The sequence below is a fragment of the Homo sapiens genome, chromosome 11 (genome assembly GCF_000001405.40).
Source record: "Homo sapiens chromosome 11, GRCh38.p14 Primary Assembly".
NCBI lineage: Eukaryota > Metazoa > Chordata > Mammalia > Primates > Hominidae > Homo > Homo sapiens.
In genome coordinates this window covers 36,206,893-36,228,987 of record NC_000011.10, presented here as the reverse complement: position 1 = coordinate 36,228,987, position 22,095 = coordinate 36,206,893, and the positions used below count along the sequence as shown (strand labels likewise).

Below are 22,095 nucleotides of genomic sequence, written 5' to 3'. Positions count from 1 at the left end.
GGAACAGAAAAGGCCAGTGTGTTCTGGCTGGTTGGTGTTGACCGGACGGTGCCAAAACCACATCCTCTGGGTAGAACCAGAATGAGGTCGCCCACCAAGTCCCTCGGCTCAACCTGGGTGGTTTGGCATTGCCACTCTGCTCCATCAGCCAAAAGCCCTGTGGCCAAGAGGCTGGGCTGGTATCTTGACTGGGCCTCTGATGGGAACATGGAATTGGCATTTCTATTGAAAGCCAACTCTTCCTGGCTATGAACTGGGGTGAGAGGACATCCTCTCAACACCTCGGTCTGTATCGGCAGAAGGGGCTTAAAAGGAATGAATTTAACAGAAAAGACATTTTATTTTCTAGCTCTCATTTACTGAAGGCTTCTCATGAGCCAGGCACTTTGCCATGCCCCTTACATTCCTTACCTTATTTAATGCTCACAAGAATGCTGGGAGGTGGGCATTACTTTCATGCCTGTTGCTCTGGTGAGGAAACTGAGGCACAGGGACATTCAATGTCTGGCCCAGCATCAGAAATAACTGGTAAACAGCAATGCTGGGATTTGAACCCACGCATTCTGTTTCCAGATTCAGCAATTTTAACCTTACCCTATGCTGGGTGGTCCAAATGAAGAGGTTATGAGTGGGAACTTTATTAGGTGAGGAAGGTCCTGAATTCTTACACTTATTTGCAAAGAGATCCTTAAGCGCCATCCTCTCCCCTGACCTCTGAAACTTTATTCACCTTCTATGAGGAAGGAAAACGAAGATTCAATAATGTAAGAGCTGCCATGGAAGAGGGTCCAAGGAAGAGCCCAGTCACCATCAGAACACGGCCAGCAAAATGTCTAATGCCATACACGGCAGAGCTTGAGGAAGAGGGATGCTGATCAGGAAACGGGCCCACTGCTTGCTTCAACTACAGAACTCTGCTTCCTGGCTTTATACATACTGGGAGTTCTTGTACAATTCCATTTGCAATGTGGTACTGCTTAAAAAAGCTTGAAAGTGCTCCTTTCCACCTCCTTTATTTTATAGATGAAGCCAAGCAAAGTTAAGGAACTCACTGATTCTCTCATTCATTCACTTCTTCATTTATCCATTCATTTGACAGATATTAACCAAACCTCTCACATGTACTGGGCACTGCTCTGCAGTAGCAGGTGAGGCTCAGAGCTAGTCTGTGGCCAGAACATGGACCAGCGTGACATTCCCAGGAGGAGCAGGCCAGGATCCTAACTGTATGTTCCTCAGACAAGTCATTTAACATCCCAGAGCCTCAGTTTCCTCATCTGTAGAATTTGGAAATTTCCTGATTTGTGCAACTATCACCATAATCCAGTTTTGGAACATTCCTATCAGTTTCCTCCCTCAGCGAGGTGCTAAGAGGATTAAATGAGGTGATACATGTAGAGAATTTTGCGAGGACTCGGCAAATGTCAGATGCTGCCACTGCCTATAGCAGCTGAAGCCAGGCTCTTGGCAAGACCTAAGAACCTCAGTGTGTGCACCTATTCCCCTCCCCGCAATGGATGACCTCTCCCGCCTCAATCTCTTCCATCCAGCACACACCTCTGGTCCAGCAAGGCCTCGGAGTAGGAGGGTGGGGAGCCTACTTCCGACGCATTCTGCTCCGCCTGGCTGGCCACATACTGGATGCCATTATTGACGTTGTAGGTGACGTTGCAGTGGTGGGGGTGGTCCAGGACCACCAGGCGGGACAGCAGCACAGGGTGCTGCAGCCGGTGCACGGGCAGCGTCATGAGGTTGTTCCGCTTCCGCTGGTGGTGCAAGACCAGTGCCAGCAGGGCCACCACCAGCACAAAAATGACGGAGCTGCCGATGATGGCATAGGTGATGCTGGGGTAATACACAAGTTGGTTCTCTGAAGTCACAAACACCTGCCCACTGCCGGGTTCTGAGAAACCCAAGAGAGGAGAGAAAAGAGAGAAGGTTACCAGTTTGGCTAATCTTTGTGTTTCAACATCAGCCCCAGAACTTGCATGCGAATGTTCACAGTAGCCCTATTCACAATAGCCAAAAAGTGGAAACCGCCCAAATGTCCACCAACCGATGAACGGATAAACAAAACGTGGTACATCCACCCAAAGGAATATTATTCAGCCATAAAAAGTTAATAAATACTGATACATGCTACTGCATGGATGGACCTCAAAAACATGATGCAGTGAACTAAGCCAGACACAAAAGATCACATATTGTAAGATTCTGTATATACAAAATTTCCAGGAAAGGCAATTTTACAGAGACAGAAAGTAGATTAGTGGTTGCCTGGAGTGGGAAAGAGAATGGGGATTAACAGTCAATGGGTATGAGGAATCTTGTTGGGGTGACGGGAATGTCCCGAAACTGGTTTATGGTGATGGTTGCACAAATTGGTAAATTTCCCCCCCGCAAAATCACTGAACTGTAAACTTAAAATGGGCAAATTTTAAGTACTGCAAATAATATCTCAATTAAGTTGTTTTAAAAAGTATCATATGCTATCCAGGGAACAGGAGTGAGAGTTCTTGTAGCAGAAATCCGTTCTTTAGTAGAAATGTATAACACACCTCAGGAACACAGGTAGTACCTCTGGGGTCCTCATACCTGCAAATCATTTATTTCAAGCCAGGCTTCACATGGAGCTTTTGGGATGGAGAGCCAGCACAGCCCAGGCTAACAGCAGGAACTCCTGGGCTCAAATCCCAGCCCCTCAAAACTTGCTTGCTGTGTGCCCTTTGGAAGTGTTACCCTCTCTGGGCTGCAAAATGGAGATGTAATAGTGCCCAGTTCTTGGGGCTTCTGTGAGCCTGAAATGAGTCAATACTCATCAGGCCCCTGAACATAGCTATACGTTATGCTCTGTAAGTGCATGTGTTCGGTACATACAAGTACATGATTCATTATTTATTTATTTATTTATTTATTTATTTGAGACAGGGTCTCGCTCTGTCACCCAGGCTGGAGTGCAGTGGCACAATCTCGGTGCACTCAACCTCCGCCTCCTGGGTTCAAGCAATTCTCTCACCTCAGCCTCCCAAGTAGCTGGGACTACAGGTGTGTGCCACCATGCTCAGCTACTTTTAGTGTTTTAGAGATGGGGTTTCAACCATGTTGGCCAGGCTGGTCTCGAACTCTTGACCTCAAGTGATCCAACTGCCTCGGCCTCCCAAAGTGCTGGGATTACAGGCGTGAGCCACTGTGCCTGGCCAAGTACATGCTTTATATCACATCTCTCTGCCTCATAACAACTCCATGGGGTAGGTGGTGTGATTCTCCTTTTTTTTTTAAGATGAAGAAAATGAAGCTCAGAGAAGTCAGTTCCCCTGACCAAGGCCACACAGTTTGGAGGTAAGGAGTTGTGCGTGAGTTGAGTCCAGGGGTCTGACTTCAGAACCTGGCCCCAGCGTTCTGCTCTACATCACCCGAATAAGACCTGCCAGGCAATCTGCAGGCACTTCCTCGGGAGTTCCAGGGTGAAGGTCTGGTACACATCCCACCCCTGCAGGTTGCTATCATAATAGCCTTCTCTCCACACATGCTAAGGAGCCATACTTCAAGCACCCAGGTAAGGAGCTTCCCAGTCAGCAGGACACACCTGGCTACCACTGTAAGGTCCAGGCAGGTGGAGGAAACCAGGGGTCCGAGCTGGGGACCCCTCATCTTTACAGAGAGCTGCCACTACCTACTGTCATGGCCTAGCTGGAAGAATAATCTAAATGCAGCTCAAGTGAGTAAACTTGGTGGCCAAGACCCTGTCCTTGTTCTGCCTGTGAGGCAGTGAGGAGGTTTCAGTGGGTCCACAGGGGTCAAAATGTAGCCATGAAATAGCAGCAGTGGCAGCGACTACAGGTGACTCATGTCCTCTGTCCTGGCATCGGCTAAGGGCTTTACTCCATCCCTCATCACTAGGTGTGCGTCTGTTTTGTTCACTGCTGTATCCCCAGAGAGTAGGATGGTGCCTGGCACATAGTAGGCACTCAATAAATACCTGCCACTCAATGGGAAAAAAATCTGTTTATTCACATGCCCTAGTAAAATGAGTGCTGTTGTTATTGCTATTTTTCAGATAAGCAAATTGACTCAGAGAGGTGAATTATTTTGTCTAACATCACCTAAGAAGGAGGCAGAGGAACAGGACTAGAATCTAGATGTTTCTCCTTCAAAAAACCACAAACCTGCGAAACACATTGACTTCTCTTCTTTTCTGATATAAACATTTTCTGATTCCCCAAATGATCCCAATCTGAGACAAATGAGGACCTTCCCCTTCAAGGTCCGGCTCTGTGTGTTAATTTGTCTCTCCAGCCACACCCAAACACAGACTAAAAGCTACAAAGATTCTCCAAGTCCGTGGTGGTCACTCTTTCAATGATTCATTGCACAGAAAGAAGCAAATAGGGGCCCAGCAGAAAAACAGAATCATGCTGCACTACAATTAAGGGAGGGAGGCAATTTTGGATTTTTTCTGGAGACAATTAGCTGTCATTCAAGGATTCTACTGGAGTTTTGTCTGTTCTCAGTGAGACAATTAGAAGCTGGGTGGAGGCTTGTGTATGTGTATGTTTCAGAATTCTGGCTTAAACTAAAATAACTTCTTTATTTTATTATCTAGCAGGGAGAGCTGTAGAGTTAGGAGCCTTGGGGGAATCCTGGAGCCACTGCTTCTAGCTGTTTGAGCTCAAGTGAGTCACTTAACTCTTAGAAGCCTCACCCTCCTCGTCTGTGAAATGGTGGTGGTCCTGGGTAAACAACAGTATCCGTGTCTCCCTGGACTATCCAGATGGTAGAGTATAACATATACACAAGTGCTGAGCACAGTGCCTGGCAAGGGTTTGCCTCAGTCATGCTAGTTCTTTCTTGTAACAACCACCACTACAACAAAATAATAATTATTATTATATAATTATATAATATATAATTATATAATAATGATAAAATAGACATAACATAAAATTTACCACTGTAACCATTTTAAAGTGCACAGTTCAGTGGCGCTTAACATTCATACACATTATTAACGTTCACACATGTTATAGTGCATCCATCACCACTATCCAGCTCCAGAATTTTTCATCATCCCTCACTAATGAACACTAGATTTTAGTGTTGCTGTTCTTACCATTATCCTCACCAACTTCTCGCAACTGGGGGTAGAAAGCTGGGGGAGCCACCTCTGGGGGATGGGGCTGGGGAGAAGATATGAACAGACTGAGTTCCATTCCAGTGAGATGTATTTTTTTTATTTTTTATTCCTTTTTAATGTTTAATATGTATTTTTTGAGACAAGGTATCACTCTGTTGCCCAAGCTGGAGTGCAGTGGCGCGATCTTGGTTCAACAGCTTCAACCTCCTGGGCTCGAGCCACCTTCCCGTCTCAGTGGCTGGGACTACAAGGGTGCGTCACACAACCTAGCTAATGTTTGCATATTTTGTAAAGACGGAGTCTCCCTATGTTGCCCAGGCTGGTCTTGAACTCCTGGGCTCAAGTAATCTATCCATCTCTGCCTTCCAAAGTGTTGGGATTACAGGCGTGAGTCACCACTCCTGGCCAGTGAAATGTATTTCTTAAAGGAGGAAAGTGGGTAAACTGTCACACAGAAAACAAATGGTCCAGAGATTTTAAAACGCTGACTTCTGTGTAAACACGTGAGGTTTTAAGAATACAAGTGGGAGCCCTTTAAAATGCATGGGATATAAAATGCCTGTGGAACTTAATGGGCTCACTTATGTCTCCGAAAGCAGGCTCTCTTCAGACCTCTCTTCACTTTGGCAGGCGAGACGCAGCGATCACATTTGCCTGAGAAATTATGATGTTGCATAACTCAGTGGTGCCTGCTCTCGTTTTTGCTGTGTGTAAAATGTCATCTTGTGTTAATTCATTAACTAGGCCCACTTTTCTTAAGAGCTTAATGAGCCTGCTGGCCAAATTACTAATATCAGAGTTGCCTAGGACCTAAGTTCCAAGTGCATAATCCATGGATAATGAAGTTTCCATTTATTCTGGCTGTCCCTCAAGCTAATGCCCTTGTGCTCCACTGTCAAGCATCTTGAATTCTTGTCCTGTACGTGCCGCTTCGACTGTACTAATTCCAGGCAATCTGGTCACTACCTAGAAACTGCTGTTCTATCAAGACTGCCAGTAGCTCCACAGCTGCCTGTGGAGAAGCAGGCTGTGTTTTGTACAACTCCAGGGGTGCTCTTCACCTCAAAGTCATTACATATTTGTTTAGTTATCACGACAGCCTTCTAGCAGATGGCAGCCAAGTGTCTTGAGGAGGAGTACCTTTAACTAATTCACTCAGAGGTGCTGTCTGGACCAGCAAAGGCACTCAAGCAGCTGACACTTGTGACTTGGTGTTCTTTCACTTCCAAAAAAATCCCCTCCTCCAGATGCAAATTAAATTTCCTACCGGATACCATTTTTCGCCTATCAGATTGGCAGAAGCAAAGTTTGAGCTCATATACTGCTGGCCAGGTCTCAGGCAAACAGGTATATTCGTGCCTGGTATATATGCAGGCATGGCTAGTGGGAGGGTAAGTCAGTACCAACCCAGGGTGGTGGAGGAGCTAATAATATATATTAATATAAAAATGTGCATATTCTTTGAGATTGGCCAGGCATGGTGACTCATATCTGTAAACCCAGCTCTTTGGGAGGTGAAAGTAGGGGGGATGGCTTGAGTCCAGGAGCTCGAGACCAGCCTGGGCAACATAGGGAGACCCTGTCTCTGCAAAAAATAAAAATGTAATAATTTAGTAAATTAGCTGGGCGTAGTGGCATGTGCCTGTAGTCCCAGCTACTCAGGAGGCTAAGAAGGAAGATCTCTTGAACCCAGGAGTTTGAGGCTGCAGCGAGCTATGACCATGCCACTATGCTCCAGCCTGAGTGACAGAGCGAGACCCTGTCTCTAAAAAACCAACAAACAAAATGAGCATTCATGAAAGCATGGTTCATAACAGCAAGATATATCAGAAACAATCCAAATGTTTATCAGTTGCAGCCTGGCTAAATAAATTATGGTGTATCCGTACAATCTTGTACCTATTTTTAAAATTAGGGAACCTCTACATATACTGATATGGAACCATGAGAAGGATATATAAATAAGGGGAAAAAAGCAAAGTTCAGTAGAGAATGTATAGAATATATCTGGAAAGACACAATATAACCAGTAACACTGGGAGCTTCCAGGAAGGGGAATAGATGCTTGTGGAGAGGGAGATTTACTTTTTATTGTTTACTCCTTCCTACTTTGTAGCATTTGTTCTGTATTATCTATTAAAAAAATAAGCACTCTGTCTTCTTCCTTTAAGACTTGCCCAGGCTGATGGTGCATCTCAGTTTCTTTATTTTTATTTTTAGACATAAGGTCTTGCTATGCTGCCCAGGCTGGTCTTGAACTCTTAGGCTCAAGCGATCCTGCCACCTAAGCCTCTGAGTAGCTGGGATTGCAGCATGTGCCACTGCACCTGGCTCAGTTCCTTTATTGTTTCCTGTCCTTCTCTCCCTGTAGGTGCTTCTTGGGGTTCAGGCCTCACTGTTTCATGCTCACTTGGAGACCCCTTACTGACTCATGAGTCCCTGAGGACAGCTTCCAATGCCTCCAGCCTGACCTCTTTTTTTTTTTTGAGATGGAGTCTCACTCTGTCTCCCAGGCTGGAGTGCAGTGGCACAATCTTGGCTACTGCACGATCTTGGCTCACTGCAACCTCCACCTCCTGGGTTCAAGTGATTCTCCTGCCTCAGCCTCACGAGTAACTGGGATTATAAGCGCATGACACCCACCATGCCTGGCTAATTTTATATACTTAGTAGAGATGGGGTTTCACTATGATGGCCAGGCCAGTCTTGAACTCCTGACCTCAAGTGATCCACCCACCTCAGCATCCCAAAGTGCTGGGACTACAGGTGTGAGCCACCGTGCCTGGCCCAGCCTGACCTCCTAAGTCCAGAATTCCTGTTCTGGAATATTCATTGCCCTTCAAACTGACTCTTCCTCATCCCTTTGAAAAACTCCTACCTTGCAATTTTTTTAGAAGTATTTTTTTTCAGTTTGTTCTTCCTCCAGATTATATATTTTAAAAGTTAGATTTATTGAGGTACACCTTAGGCATAATAAAATTTGCCCTTTAAAAATGTGCCATTAGATGAATTCTGACAAAATGAAACAGTCACATGTCCTCTTCCACAATCAAGATATAGACCCTTTCCATCCCCACGAAAGGTATTTTGTGCTTCTTGTGGTCAATCTTCTCCCCTCATTCCAAGCCTCTGGAAACCAGGGGTCTGTTTTCTGTCCAAATAGATTCACTTTTTTCCGGAAAGCCATATAAGTGGAATCCTACAGTATGCAGTATCCTACAGTATGTAAAAACAAATTTTTACATAGTCCTTTGCATCAATTCTTTCTTAATGGTTTGTGTTTTTTATATTCTATTCCATCTGACTTCTTTCACTCAGCACACTGCTTTTGAGATTCATCCATGTTTCTTTGAGTGTTAATATTTCATTCCTTTTTGTCCCTGAGTAGTATTCAGTTGCATGGATGTATCACAATTTGATTCCCCAGATGAGGGAGGGTACTGGGCTGTTCCCAGTTTCAGGAATGCTGGTCTTTGTGCTAACATATATTTTCATATTTCTTGGGCATACATAGGGCTGAGAGATTTCTGGGTCATATGGGAAGCATATGTTTAACTTTAGAAGAAATTGTCCCACTGTTCTCCAAAGTTGCTATAGCATTTCCCATCCCCACCAGCAGCAATGTATGAAACTGTCAGTCATCCTGTGTCCTCACCAGCACTTAGTAATACCAGTCTTTTTAATTTTAGCCATCTTAATAGGTATTTAGTGGTATCTTATTGATACCACTTAAAACCTCTTATTGAGGTTTTAATTAGCATTTCCTAATGACTAATGATGTGAGCATCTGTTCATGTACTGATTTGCCACAGCTTATCTTCTTTAATGAAGTGTTTATTCAAATCTTTTGCCCATTTTTAAATTGGTTTGACATTATTATTGGATAGTAAGAGCATTTTATATGTTCTGTGACATAGTATTTTATCACAAATGTGTTTTGCAAATATTTTCTCCTAGTCTATGGCTTATCTTTTCATTTTCTTTACAGTGTCTTAAAAAGAGCTTTTTGGTATTTTCTTTTTTAAGACTAGTCAATGAAGAAAACGTTTCAAAACAAATTTTTATATAGTCATTTGCATCAATTCCTTCTTAATGGTTTGTGTTTTTCTATATTCGATTCAAGGAATCTTCCCCTAAATCATTGTTTAGAAGAAGTCTTATAGCTTTAGCTTCTACATTTATGTCTATGATCCACAGCAAATTAATTTTTGTTTATGGTGCAAGGTAAAGGTCAAGGTTCTTTTCATCTCCCCATTTAGCTTTCCAATTTTTCTAACACCATTTGTTGAAAAGCCTATCCTCTCTTATTGAATTACCTTGGCACCTTTGTTGAAAATCAATTGACCATACAAGTCTGAGTCTATTCTTAGACTATCTATTTTGTATGATTGAGCTATACAACTATCTTTATGCCAATAAGGGTGTTGTTAACTACAGCTTTATAGTTAAGTCTCGAAATGAGGTAGTGTGTCTTGCACGCCTTTTTCCCCCTTCCAAAATGAACTTTATTTCTGATTATAAAAATCCATGTTCATTATTTAAAAAAAAATAATATAGAAATATTCAAGGCAGACAAAATGTCCCCTCCTCTCCCCTAAACCTATTAGGATTCTACTAGACATGGTTTACAGTTTGGTATAGACCATGAGCTGGCAAACTTTTACTGTCAAGGACCAGATAGTAAATATTTTATGCTTTGTGAGCTACACAAGTAGATAAAAGCTGTCATGGACAATATGTCAATGAATGAATGTGGCCGTGTCCCAGACAAACTTTATTTACAAAAACAGGTAGCAGGTCAGATTTGGCCCACTGGCCATAGTTTGCTGTCTACCCACAGCATAGATCTTTGAAAACTGCTCCCTATGCTTGTACACACACGTACTTTTCTTCATGTTATATGGATACTTCAGCATGTGGGCATCTTTCCTTGGCTCCCACACCTTTGTGAAAGAACAGCCACATAGTATCCCACTATAGAGATAAACTACAGTTTATTTAGCCAAACCTCTATTGAAGTACCTTTAGGTTGCTCCCCATTTTTGCTATTACAAACAATGCTACAATACCATTCAGGCAGACAGTGAGGGTCATGAGGGGAGGGGCCAGTGATCTTTGGTCACTGATGCAATTATTTCTTTGGATGAATTCCTAGATGCTGGATGTTTACCTGGCCATCTGGTCTGCCAGGTTTGAAAACTTGGGGTTGTCTTGAACATTCTCCTTTTTCTCTGTCCACATCAAGCAACCAAGTATGGTCAATTTCTACTGTGCTGTGTTTCTCCAGCCTCTTAACCTCACGTCCATTCTCATGGCCACATCCAGGCCCAGGCCAGGAAGAAAACCTCCGTGAGAGTCTTGCCACCTGTAGCCTCTTCGGACTCTAGTCTTTTTGCAATACTCCCACAAGTCTGAACATTACCCAGGACTGTGTTGCTGTGTAATTCTTGTAGAATTCTTCAGATCAAGGAACCTCAGTGGCTCACATCACCCTGTTTGGCCTGTCGTTCACAGACAGCACTGTTCCCTGTGATTAATTTCCCAGCATCAACCCCCAGAAGGGCATGGGGAAAAGTCCAGAGTTGGAATGAGGAACACCATTTGCCTTGTGACATGTCCTCATTCCTGATTTGAACTAAATAATGATACTAATAATACTAACAACCATCACCACCATGCATATTTACTTTGAACTCAAAAACAAGAGTAAACATAATATCATCACCATAATTATCCTGGCAGCTCTTACCCTATTCTCATTAATATCTGATGTGTTTTACACATTCTAACACTTTTAATCCTTGCACCATCTGTATTGAGTTGAGTAGTGTCCCTCCAAAGGTATGTCCACCCAGAACCTCAGAATGTGACCTTATTTGGAAAAAGGGTCTTTGCAGATATAATTAAGGTAAGAGTTTCAAGATGAGCTCATTCTGAATTAGAGAGAGCTTTAGATCCAATGATGAGTGTCTTTATGAGAGACAGAGAAGGAGATGACACAGAAACAGACAAGGGCAAAGGCCATGCGAAGTTGAAGGCAGAAACTGGAATCATGCAGCCCCAACCAAGCCAAGGAACACCAAGAATTGCCAGCGGCCCCAGAAGCTAGGAATGAGGCATGGAACAGACTCTCCCTCAGAGCCTCCAGAAAGAACAAACCCTGCCAGTACCTTCAATTTGCACTTCTGGCCTCCAGAACTGTGAGAGAATAAATTTCTGTTGTTTCAAAGCCAAGTTTGTGGTCATTTGTTATGGCAGCCCTAGCAAACGAATACACCCTCCTATGAAGTAGACCGTTTCACAGGTGAGGAAATGGGAACACAGGTTAAGGAACTTGCCCAAATACTCCCTATACCTGAGGAATTATTAATAGCTATTATCAGAGCTAGCTAGTAGAGAAACCAAGAGGAACCCAGGAAGTCTAGTTCCAGCATCTGTACTCTTAGCCCAAAGCTTTATTTCATTTTACATATGTGGCTATCTTACCATTAAGTTCTCGGTGGGCAAAGACCAGGCTTGCTCCTTCTTGGAACCCCACTCAGGGCTCACCACAATCTGGGAAATACAACAGGTACTCCACAGTGTTTTTTGATATTGGTAAACTAACTCTGAAACATGTCAACATGGTAATTCACAATTTCTTCACTTACAGACAGAGTCAAAACTACAGGAAAGCAAACATTTCAAGAAGAAAATGAGGATAACCTAGATGCTGAGCAGTGAGCACTGAACCTCTTTCTTCTACTCTTCCTTTGATATACACAATTTCCCTTCTTCTTTACAACAATCCTGTGAAGTGTGCCATTTTATTAACAGAGAGGTTAAGTAACTTACAGAAGGTCATAGAGCAAACAAGTGGTACAACTAGTCTTTGGGTGCAGGAGTCTGAAGTCAGAATCCATTGCGCTATCCTGAATACTTCTCTCTGCTCCCTCCTCTCCTCTGTCCCATTTATCCTGAACATCTGTCACCTCACTGTACTGTTCTTGCAATGGGGTCCCTTTCCAGTAACTTCAATGAATACTCAATCTTAGAGTCTGATCAATATACTGGAAGTGTCTTCTGTGGGATGGCAAGAGGTATTTCATGAAAAAGAGTACCTTGGTCAAACAGGTGTGACAACGACTGGATTAGACAAGTTAAACCCCTTCCCCCCTCCTTTTTTGTAGCTGTTTGGAGGGAAGGTACAGAGATCAAACTGTCTAGATTCAAACCTCAGCCGTGTCACTCACTAGCTGTATGGACTAGGAAAAGTTACTTTGCCTCTCTGTGTCTCAAAATCCTCACCTTTAAAATGGGATAATAGAACCCACCCCCTAGGGTTATTTTTTGGATAAAAAGGGAAAATATGTATAGAAATGTTTAAAGTGGTGTCTGGCACAAAGTAGCATTTGACAAAACTTTTAGTTATTATCAATAGCTATTATTACAAGACTTGTCAGAGCCTTTACTAGGCAAATGTCCACTGTGACTCTTCATGAAAGGATGTGATTATTTCCTCAACCTCAGTGCTAGGCTGAGATGGACAGAACATACACCATATTCCAAATATGTGCATTCCCAACATTCTAGAAGATATCTTCTCACAAATCAGAAAGGGGAATCCCTGGCCTTTGGGCAGGCTGTTGGAGGAAGCTCTGGGTTGCAGCTGCCGATGGAAGAAGATGAAGCTGAGAGACAACTATCTTAGCCCCATCCTCTCTTCTCGTGATACAGTGAGGCCCAGGTCCCAGGCCACATCAGTTAAGGTTCGGCATCATCATCACTGATGGCCAAGCACTGGGAGCAGCTCCTGAGCATGAAGTGAGAGATGCCACTGTGGGGGCTGTATGACACTCTGCCGCGTCTTACATTTGTCAAGAACTGAGCATGCAGGAGCTGATGCTGCAGAAATTCACAAGGAGTCCAAAGGCTGCCCTGGTTCTGTTCTTGGGATCTGCGAGTTTGTCACGGCCCCTTGCATAATCAGTTCATCGGTGCTACTCCTGCCTGTGAAACTTTATTACCCGGGGAAATGCTGAGTGTGCACACTTGGAGCTTCAGAGTGCAGAAAACTTTCTGAGTAATTTAGGGGAACGGGCTGATACAGAATCACTGTAAGCAGGGCTCCCAAGGGGGAGCTTTATCCACCATGAACAAATTCATGGCTTCTTGAGATTTCAGATCTGAACACAACGACCCTGACCCAACAAGCTCCAGCATCTTGGAGGGCAGGGCTGTTCGTTTTGCACACACTGGGTTCTTGTTCTCCAGACACTGGGCTCTTGGGCTCCAGTCCCAGTGCAGGCAGGATGAGCATGCCCGAAAGGGGAGCACAAGACATATCCGATGCCAAACGGGACTCTGCACACCAGCCTCAACCAATCCCCAGTCCTGGTGCCTGTGCTTCATAATCTCCCTGTTCCCAGCCACTGTCCCTTCCACCTGCCTCCACTCTGGCTCCCCGTAGTGTCTTTTCCACATGGCTGCAGGGTGCTCCTTCTAAAAACATTCATCTGTTCATGTCACTCCTCAGCTCAAAACCTTCCAGTGGCTTCTCATGTACTCAGAATAAAGTCCAAAGTCCTTAACATGGCCTCCAGGCCCTGAATAATCTCATCCCCGTTGCTACTCTGACTTCCACTCCTGCTCCTCCCTGGCTGCTGCTGCAGACCCGTTGGCCTCCTTGATGTGGTTCTGGAACACACCCAGCATGCACCTGCTACAGGGCCCTTGCCGTCTGCTTAGCACGACCTTCCAGGGCATCCGCATCACTCACAATTCCATTCAAGACTCTACTCCTTTCTGGCCCACCGACATCACTCTCCATCCCCCCACCCACCTCGTCTACCTTCACAGCACTGTTACTGCCTGTCATTGTACATTCTATTTGTATTTAATTGTCTCTCTTTCCTACTGGAATAGAACTCCCTGAGGGCAGAACTGAATTCTGCTTGCTCATCCCTGAATCCCCAAAGCTCCAAATAGTAAAAATTTGCTGGGAGAAGCCGGCAGAGTGTCTCTAACTCTGTGGCCCTGTGAAGTCTTGGCTTGTGCATCTTTCCTATGAGACTCCATGCCTTCATGGCCATCATTCCATTCAGCCTCACAGGTGAGAAAAAGAAGACTGAGAGAAGTGAGGTCATTTGCCCCAGGTCACACAGCCAGGAAGTGATTGAGCTGAGACACGAGCCCAGGTCTGTCTGGCCAACACCCAGAGATGACACATGGTATGAGGGCAGGTCCCACTCAACCAGTTTTCCCGGTGATCTGTTTTGGGGAAGGGAAAACCACCCTTGTGGCTGAAATATTCACACTGTTATTGATGGGCACTGGCTGAGCTCAAGATTTATAGAGAAAACACATGTTCACTGTACAAAAACAGTCTCATCCTTCTAGAATCTTCCTTCTCACAAATGAGGTGGGATCAATGTAACCCTTTCCCAGAATCATCTAGAGATCCACCAACTCGCAGGACCAAAAGTGTGGGGCCAGTGCAGGCAGACTCCTCTCCCAAAGTGGCCAAGATGGTGCCTTGACATAGTCACTCCAGGCCAACCCTGCAGACTGGACCTGGGTCTGCCCCCACTCACAGCCCTTCCAGGACTTCTTATTTGCCAAGGGTCAAGTCCCACGCCCTCATCATGAAGGTCAAAGCTCTTCACCCCCACTTTCTCCCCACTCTCCTCTCTCTCACTGCCTCCTTCTCTAGCCAGCCACGCCTAGAACAACTTGCCTGACTAGTGCCTAAATCCTGTCAACGCTGGGCCCCACAGCCTTCTGGTTTAAAAGAGGCAACTGAAAGCATTTAATGAAGGGACAGCGGGATTAAAATTGGGACTGTAAAATCAGGATGAACAACTTGTACCTGCCACAAAGTTTAGATGAACACTGAAGACTGTTTTAAATTTGAGCCGAGTGAAGCGACTGTGAGCTTGCTTCTGTAGTTTCCTTTTACCTGGACGAAGAGTCTGACCCTTCACACTAGATTAAAACGGGCCTTGGGAGTGCTGAATGGCAGAGAAGAGAAAACGCTGCTGAGAGGGAGGCAGGGAGAACAGTTGGGATTCACAGGGGCACAGAGCCTCCAAGCTGTGATGCGATGGAGGGGAGTCTGGCTGGGTCCACAATTCATTCGTCCACTTGGAGAGCCCAGATCCTGGCTGGGCCCTGTGCTCAGGTGCGGGGAGCAGGCCTGACCCCAATGGCACTCCCAGGGTGGGAGCGGCCCTGGGGGTCCCATTTCACTCCTGCATGCCTCCTACCATGGCCTCTGCCACAGTGGCAGCCACACTTTCTCAAGCCTGGAAGCATCAAGGGATTGTCTGGGCCACTGTAAACCAAGGGCATCCCCACATCCACCCTGACTTTCCTGTCTAAAAAAAGCATCCCATGGGGCTGGAGCGCCTTTGCGGATCCCTATTCCAAGCACATCACCCATCCCAATTTAGATGCGGATTGAAAAAGTTTAATTTAAAGGGCAGACCAGCAAATGACTGAATCAAAAGAGAGCCATGAAAACCCCGCTGAACCATTACCATGGCAACTCAAGTTGCTAAAATTAACTGAAAAGAGGGTGATGGGAAAACTGGAGCTGCGCAACCTCAGACCGGCCACAGCAGGGGCCATCCTGGCCCCAAGCCAGAGGGAAATGAGAGAGGAGACCCATCTGCCAGGATGCTGGGAACCAGGACCATTGAGAGCTGGGAGACAAGTGCCCGAGGATTAAATTCAAAATGAGAGGGAGGGAAAGCAAGGGGAGGGGGAGTGGAAGAGGAACAGGGAGGGAGAGAGGGAGGGAGCGAGGGGGAGAGAAAGAGAGGGGTGGGGGAGAGAGAGACAGAGAGAGAAGAAAGTTCTAAACTGAAGACCGAATGAAGTAGACACTTCCCTGGAAATTTTCAGTCATTCTTATTCCAAAAGACTGCAGAGGTTTTCTATCTGCCTAACCACTGCCATCCTTTGGGCAAATGGGAGCAGGGAGTCTCCCTGAAAGCTGCATTCCATCCTTTCAATAAGTGCTACTGAACAGCCAACTGGTATCAATGGCCCCTAATTTCTAAGCTGTTCACCCCAGAGAGTTTCTTAGAATGGAGGAAAGCCCCCAGCAGTCCCAGAGCTCTTTGAAGCCTGCTAAGAGCTGCTGTACACCCTCAGAATTTGATCTCTGTGTCTGATGAGGAAGGGCCCAGTGATAAGCCAGGGAGTCGGGTGGCTAATGGCCTCTTTGCTAAGACACAGACTCAGGGCAGTTGCAGAACTGGTTGGAGGGTAAGGCATTTAATTGGCTGTTTAAGATAGAAAAGGGCTTTTTTTTTTTTTTGAGACAGGGTCTCACTCTGTTGCCCAGGCTAGAGTGCAATGGCATTTTTTAAGTAGGAATTCAGATTGCCACTAAAACTCAGTGAGAGGGTAATTGGGAGCTAGGGCCCAGGTGGCCTTTTTAGAACTCTGCTCAATTGTGTCATTGCTTCAGAAATGTCAACAGAAGAATGCAGTGAAAATGAGGGGTAGGAGTTCTTTGCTACCTCTCCTACTGCAGGCCACAAAAGCAGCAGAAGCCAATGAGAGACAGCACGGGAAGGGGGTGGGACTTGGTAATGAGCTCATGCACCTGCACCGGGATCAATCTAATCATTCTACCCATCCAAAGGGAAACCTCTGAGGCATCTGCCTCCTCTGCATCGAGTGGCTTCGCCAGATCCAGATTCCTATATATGATATCCTGGGCTGCTCCTGCAGGCCACATCTGGAAATGACTATCCATGCCTCTGGAATTTGCTGAATAAGGAAGGCTCTAAAGAACTACTATTTCTATTGCTTACTGTAGCTATTTACCTGTAGTGTTTGGTGGAAGCCGCAAAATTAAATGCTTAGCAGACATTCTTTGAACTCAATGGTCAGTTGGTTTCTGGTCCAGTAATAAGGCTTGGCCAATTACAATACAATAGTTTATTGAGCCTGCCGAGTCAGCAGCCAGAGCGAATACTGCTAACTCAAGCAGGATGCAGGGAGCGGAGATGCTTTGATCAGTTTGTGAGTGTGGTGTAATCACACACAAATAGCATTGCAGGGAAAAGCAAACCCTAAAAACTGGAGAGAGAAAAATCTACTTCAGGCAGGCCATTGTTGCAAATAAAACCTCACTTGTGGGAGTTGGGAAAGCAAGTATCATCATTAAATAGCAATTACAATCCTGGGCCAGGGACCCCAGGCAGTCACTGGAGCTGCAGGCCTCAGTGTTAAACCTGGTTCCTTCCTTTCCTTTTCCATTCATGTCCAACTCAGGGGCAGGTCCTGCTGATTCTGCTTCCATAATATGGGACAAGTTACCATCATCTGTTGCATGGATTACCATGTGAACCTCTACTTGGTCTCCCAATTTCTGATCTTGCCCCTCTCCAATCCATTTTCCACACAGCACCTACAAAGCTCGTTTTAGGAAATAAATAAGACCATGGTATGTTTCCTGCTTTATATTCCCACCAAGCATTGCTCACTGTACTGGAAATACAAACTCCTAGCAATGGTTTAGACATATGATCTCTACAAGAGGCCCTTGGCTCTTCTACAACCTGCCTGTTAGCATCCTGTGTTCTAGCTCAGGGGTCAGTCCAGCCTACTGTCTGCTTTCATAGATAAAGTTTTATTGGTACACAGCCATTCCCATTCATTATGTATCATCTATGGCTGCTTTCATGCTACAATGGCAGAGTTGCATAGTTGAGACAGTGACTCTAGGGCCCATCAAGCCTAAAATACAAACTGACCCAAGAAGGGCTAATGTTAATTCCTTGAGGAGACCAATACTACAATGAACCATGAGCTTAGAGATGCACAGCTTTTATTCAGCTTATAGTCTCTTTGGGAAGTTACTCTAATACACAAAATGCGGCAATCAGCATGAGGTAACTATAACTGCTGTAGAAAATAAATGGAGAAATGAAGAAATCAAGGAAGAAATCAAGCACACCCCTCTCCCGCTATCCCTCCATTAGCTCTTTTGCTTTTTGTTATCTGTAGAAGTAAGCTACTGAAATGTTCCTACAGGAAATGGCAAACTTGGTCTCAATCTTGGCTATGAAATACCTGAACAGTTAAAAATCTATCTGTTCTTGCCACCACCACCTCCCTGGGTGGTTGAGCAATACTGCCTGCCTGTGCAATCCTGTCTTCTGAGAGGTACTTGGATGTCTCATATTTATACTTCTTGAAATGAAGTCTTGGTGGAGCATTTGAATGTTCTTTAAGACAAGGTGCTGGAGGCTCTATTCCAACACCAGTGGGCCTCCTGGGCAGTGGGTCACTGAACCCGGTTGTTCCATAATAGATGAATAACTACAGGGTCTCGGGCTGTGGAGGATTCAAAGTTACTCATTCAATTCTATAAAGAGGAAATAATAACCAAGTATCCCTGGGCCGCTTTAGAATCCCTGTTGAAAGCCCTCGAAACACCTAAGACAGACTGGAGAGCTCAGACAAGCATTTTAAACATTAATGGGGCTGTGTTTAAAACAAGAAAGTGAAGAAATCAAAGTCTTCTGTTGCCAACAGAGGGCCCAAGCTGGCCTCCTTAGGAAGAGGAATAAAAGGACCTACACCGTCTGATGTGATACAAAGATGAATCCCACGGAGGGCAGGCAGCAGAATGAATTCACTCATTCATCCTACATTTCCTAGCACCTACTAAGGGCCAGCCAGGGTGCCAGAAGATTCTGAGCCACTGTTATGGGGCATGAGTTATTGGGGAATGGATGGGGAGCTCTGGGAACCTCAGGATTACCATGGCTAAGATTATTTAAAATATATTTTTTGAATAGGCAAAATATGCATGATTCAAAATTCAAAAAGTAAGAAAGGATTTGCAGACAAAAATAAGTCTGTTTCATGTATCTCTCTCCTAGCCATGGGCTTCCCCTCCCCAGAGGCAACCCTTGGCACCCATTTATTTTGTTCAGTTTCTTTTTTGTGAAGCCTTCCAGGAATAGTACAGGCATATATTAGCACATATCTATGGTTTTAACATGCATGGTTACACCCTGATTTTTTTACTTAATTAAGCACATCAATACATACTTTTAACCAATTACCATTTTGTCTATTTAATAAATACCTATACAGCACTTTCTATATGCTAGGTTCTCCTTTTTTAAAATTTAATTTTTTATTTGGAGATAAGTTTAGACATACACAAGAGTTGCAAAAATAGTACAGTTTGGCCAGGCATGGTGGTTCACACCTGTAATCCCAGCACTTTGGGAGGCCGAGGCAGGTGGATCACGAGGTCAGTAGTTCGAGACCAGCCTGACCAACATGGTGAAACCCTGTCTCTACTAAAAATACAAAAATTAGCCAGGCATGCTGGCATGCGCCTGTAATCCCAGCTACTCAGGAGGCTGAGGCAAGAGAATTGCTTGAACCCGGGAGGCGAAGGTTGCAGTGAGCCGAGATCACACCATTGCACTCCAGCCTGGGTGACAGAGCGAGACTCAGTCTCAAAAAAAAAAAAAAAAAAAAAAAAGTACAGTTTCTGCAAATCCTTCATCTAGGTTCCCCTAGTGATGATCCCTTTCCTAACCACAGAACAACTGCTAAAACTGAGTTAACCTTGGAACAACTGTATTAACTAAGTTAATAGAATTGATTCAAATTTTGCCAGGATCCCACATGGCATTGATCTCCTCTAATCGGTGACAGTTTCTCAGTCTTTCCTTGTTCTTCATGACTTTAATACTGTGAAGAGGATCGAGAAGTTATTTTGTAGAATGTCCCTCAATTTGGGTTTTTCTGATGTAGTTTCACAATTGTGAGAATATATATTATTGAAAAGAGTATCAGAGCATATTCAGTGTATCCCATCAGGGGATACCTGAAATGCATTCACTGATGATGTTAACTTTGATCACTTTATCTGCCAGGATTCTTCACTGCAAAGTTACTATTTCTGTCTTTGTAGTCAATAAATATTTTGGGGGAGATTCTTTGAAACTATGCAAATATCCTGTTTCTGCTTAAACTTTCACCCACTAATTTTAGCATTCATCATGGACTTTGCCTGCTGCCTGCAGCAAATATTACTGTGTTGTTCTCATGGTGTTTTTTCCCCCCTATTTCCTTGATTCCTTCTACATTTCAATAATTACAATTTTTCTATAAGGAAGATTTGCTTTCTCCAATTTATTTATTAATTATTTATTTACTTCAGATGGACTTGTTATTTAAGCTACTCTCTGAGTTATAAAACCCAATATTATTTGAATGGGTTCCCTCCAAAATACAAGTACTGCCAATGTAATGGTACTGAAGGGTGAGGCATTTAAGGGCGATCAGGCCAGGAAGGCTCTCTCCTCAGGAATGGGATTGGGGCACTTACGGAAGGGGCATCATGCAATGTTTGGCTAGCTGCCCTTCGGCCACCTGGGGACACAGTGATTGTCATCGCTAGAGGATGCAGCAATAGGGTAGTATCTTAGAAGCAGAGAGCAGCCCTCGCTAGATGGCTGAACCTGCTCGCGCCTTGATCTTGAACTTCCCAGGCTCCAGAACTGTGTGAAACAAATTTCTGTTCTTTATAGATGATTCAGTCTCAGGTATTTTGTCACACCAGCACAAAACAAAGGCATTATTATTTATTTTGTTGCTCAGGTTGTTTCACCTTTGGCCACGGGGAACACTTTCAGGTTGGCTCCCGCATCCTTTCAATGCACCTCCATGTTCTTATTTTTTTGTTGTTTGGTTTGGGGGCTACTTGTTTACTTTCTGGGAGAAGATGCTTCGGGCTCATCTTGTATTTCCCAGCCCCAGGCCTAGAATCAACTCTAACTCTTCTTAATAGCTGCACAGTGAGTGTGCCATTTGTGGAGATGTAGAAATGATTTATTTATAACCAGGATCTATCTATTTCCAAACTTTTCTATTATAATCTTTTATGATAAAAATCCTCGTAGGTGGGCTGTTTCATACATAAGCAGTTGTTAAAGTAAAACCTAAGCATTTACAAAGACCTAGGAGGCCCTCTCTGAGCAGCCCCCGTGTTCTCTCTCTGCCCTCGCTCCAGATGTTCTATTCCCTTCCCCAGTGTGGTGGACAACCTCTGAGGCAGCTCCTCCAATGCCTGCCTTTTGAGATTCATGCCCTTTTGTGATCCCTTTCCCGTGAGTTGTGGTTGGACTTATTTCTCACTTTTTTTTTTGAGACATGATCTCACTGTGGATACAAGCCCTTCAATAGCCCTTCACACTCCAACACCCAGGCTGGAGTGCAGTGGCACAATCATGGCTTACTGCAGCTTCAGCCTTCCAGCCTTAGGTGATCCTCCTGCCTCAGCCTCCTGAGTAGCTGGGACCCCAGGTGCATGCCACCATGCCGGCTAATTTTAAAAATTATTTTTAGAGACAGGGTCTCCTTATGCTGCCCAGGCTGATCTTGAACTCCCTCTGTTTCCCAAAGTGTTGGGTTTATAGGTGGGAAAAACCACACCCAGCCATTTCTCATTTCTAATTAATGAAAGATGATGGAAATAAGATGTCACTTCCAATACCAGGTTATCAAAGGACTGTGGTTTCCGTTCCATCTTAGCTACCTGCTCTTGATCATTTTCTCGTTTGCTTGCTCTAAGAACCATGATGTGAGCTGCCCTATGGAGAAGTCCACGTGCCCAGGAACAGAGGGAGGCCTCCAGCAAACAGATAGCCAGTGAGGGACTGAGGCTCTCATTCCAGCAACCCACAAGGAACGGAAACCCCCTAGTTGAAACTTCAGATGAGACCACAGTTCCAGCAGACAGAAGAAGTGCAATCACATGAGAGATCTTAAGCCAGAGAAACTCGTGTACAAAAAGTAGAATCAGGGTCGGGTGCAGTGGTTCATGCCTGTAATCCCAGCACTTTGGGAGGCCAAGGTGGGTGTATCACGAGGTCAAGAGTTTGAGACCAGCCTGGCCAACATGGTGAAAACCCGTCTCTACTAAAAATACAGAAATT

At 44.7% G+C, this 22,095-nt stretch overlaps 1 protein-coding gene across 3 annotated transcripts in view; it reads right to left on the bottom strand.

The window, feature by feature from the left end:
* LDLRAD3 (low density lipoprotein receptor class A domain containing 3) overlaps positions 1-22,095 on the bottom strand; it is a 288,075-nt gene that overhangs the window by 3,149 nt on the left and 262,831 nt on the right. For all 3 annotated transcript variants that reach the window (NM_174902.4, NM_001304264.2, NM_001304263.2), the window contains one exon: positions 1,558-1,903. In NM_174902.4, the coding sequence (NP_777562.1) occupies positions 1,558-1,903 (346 nt within the window). The remainder of the gene's footprint in view (positions 1-1,557; positions 1,904-22,095) is intronic.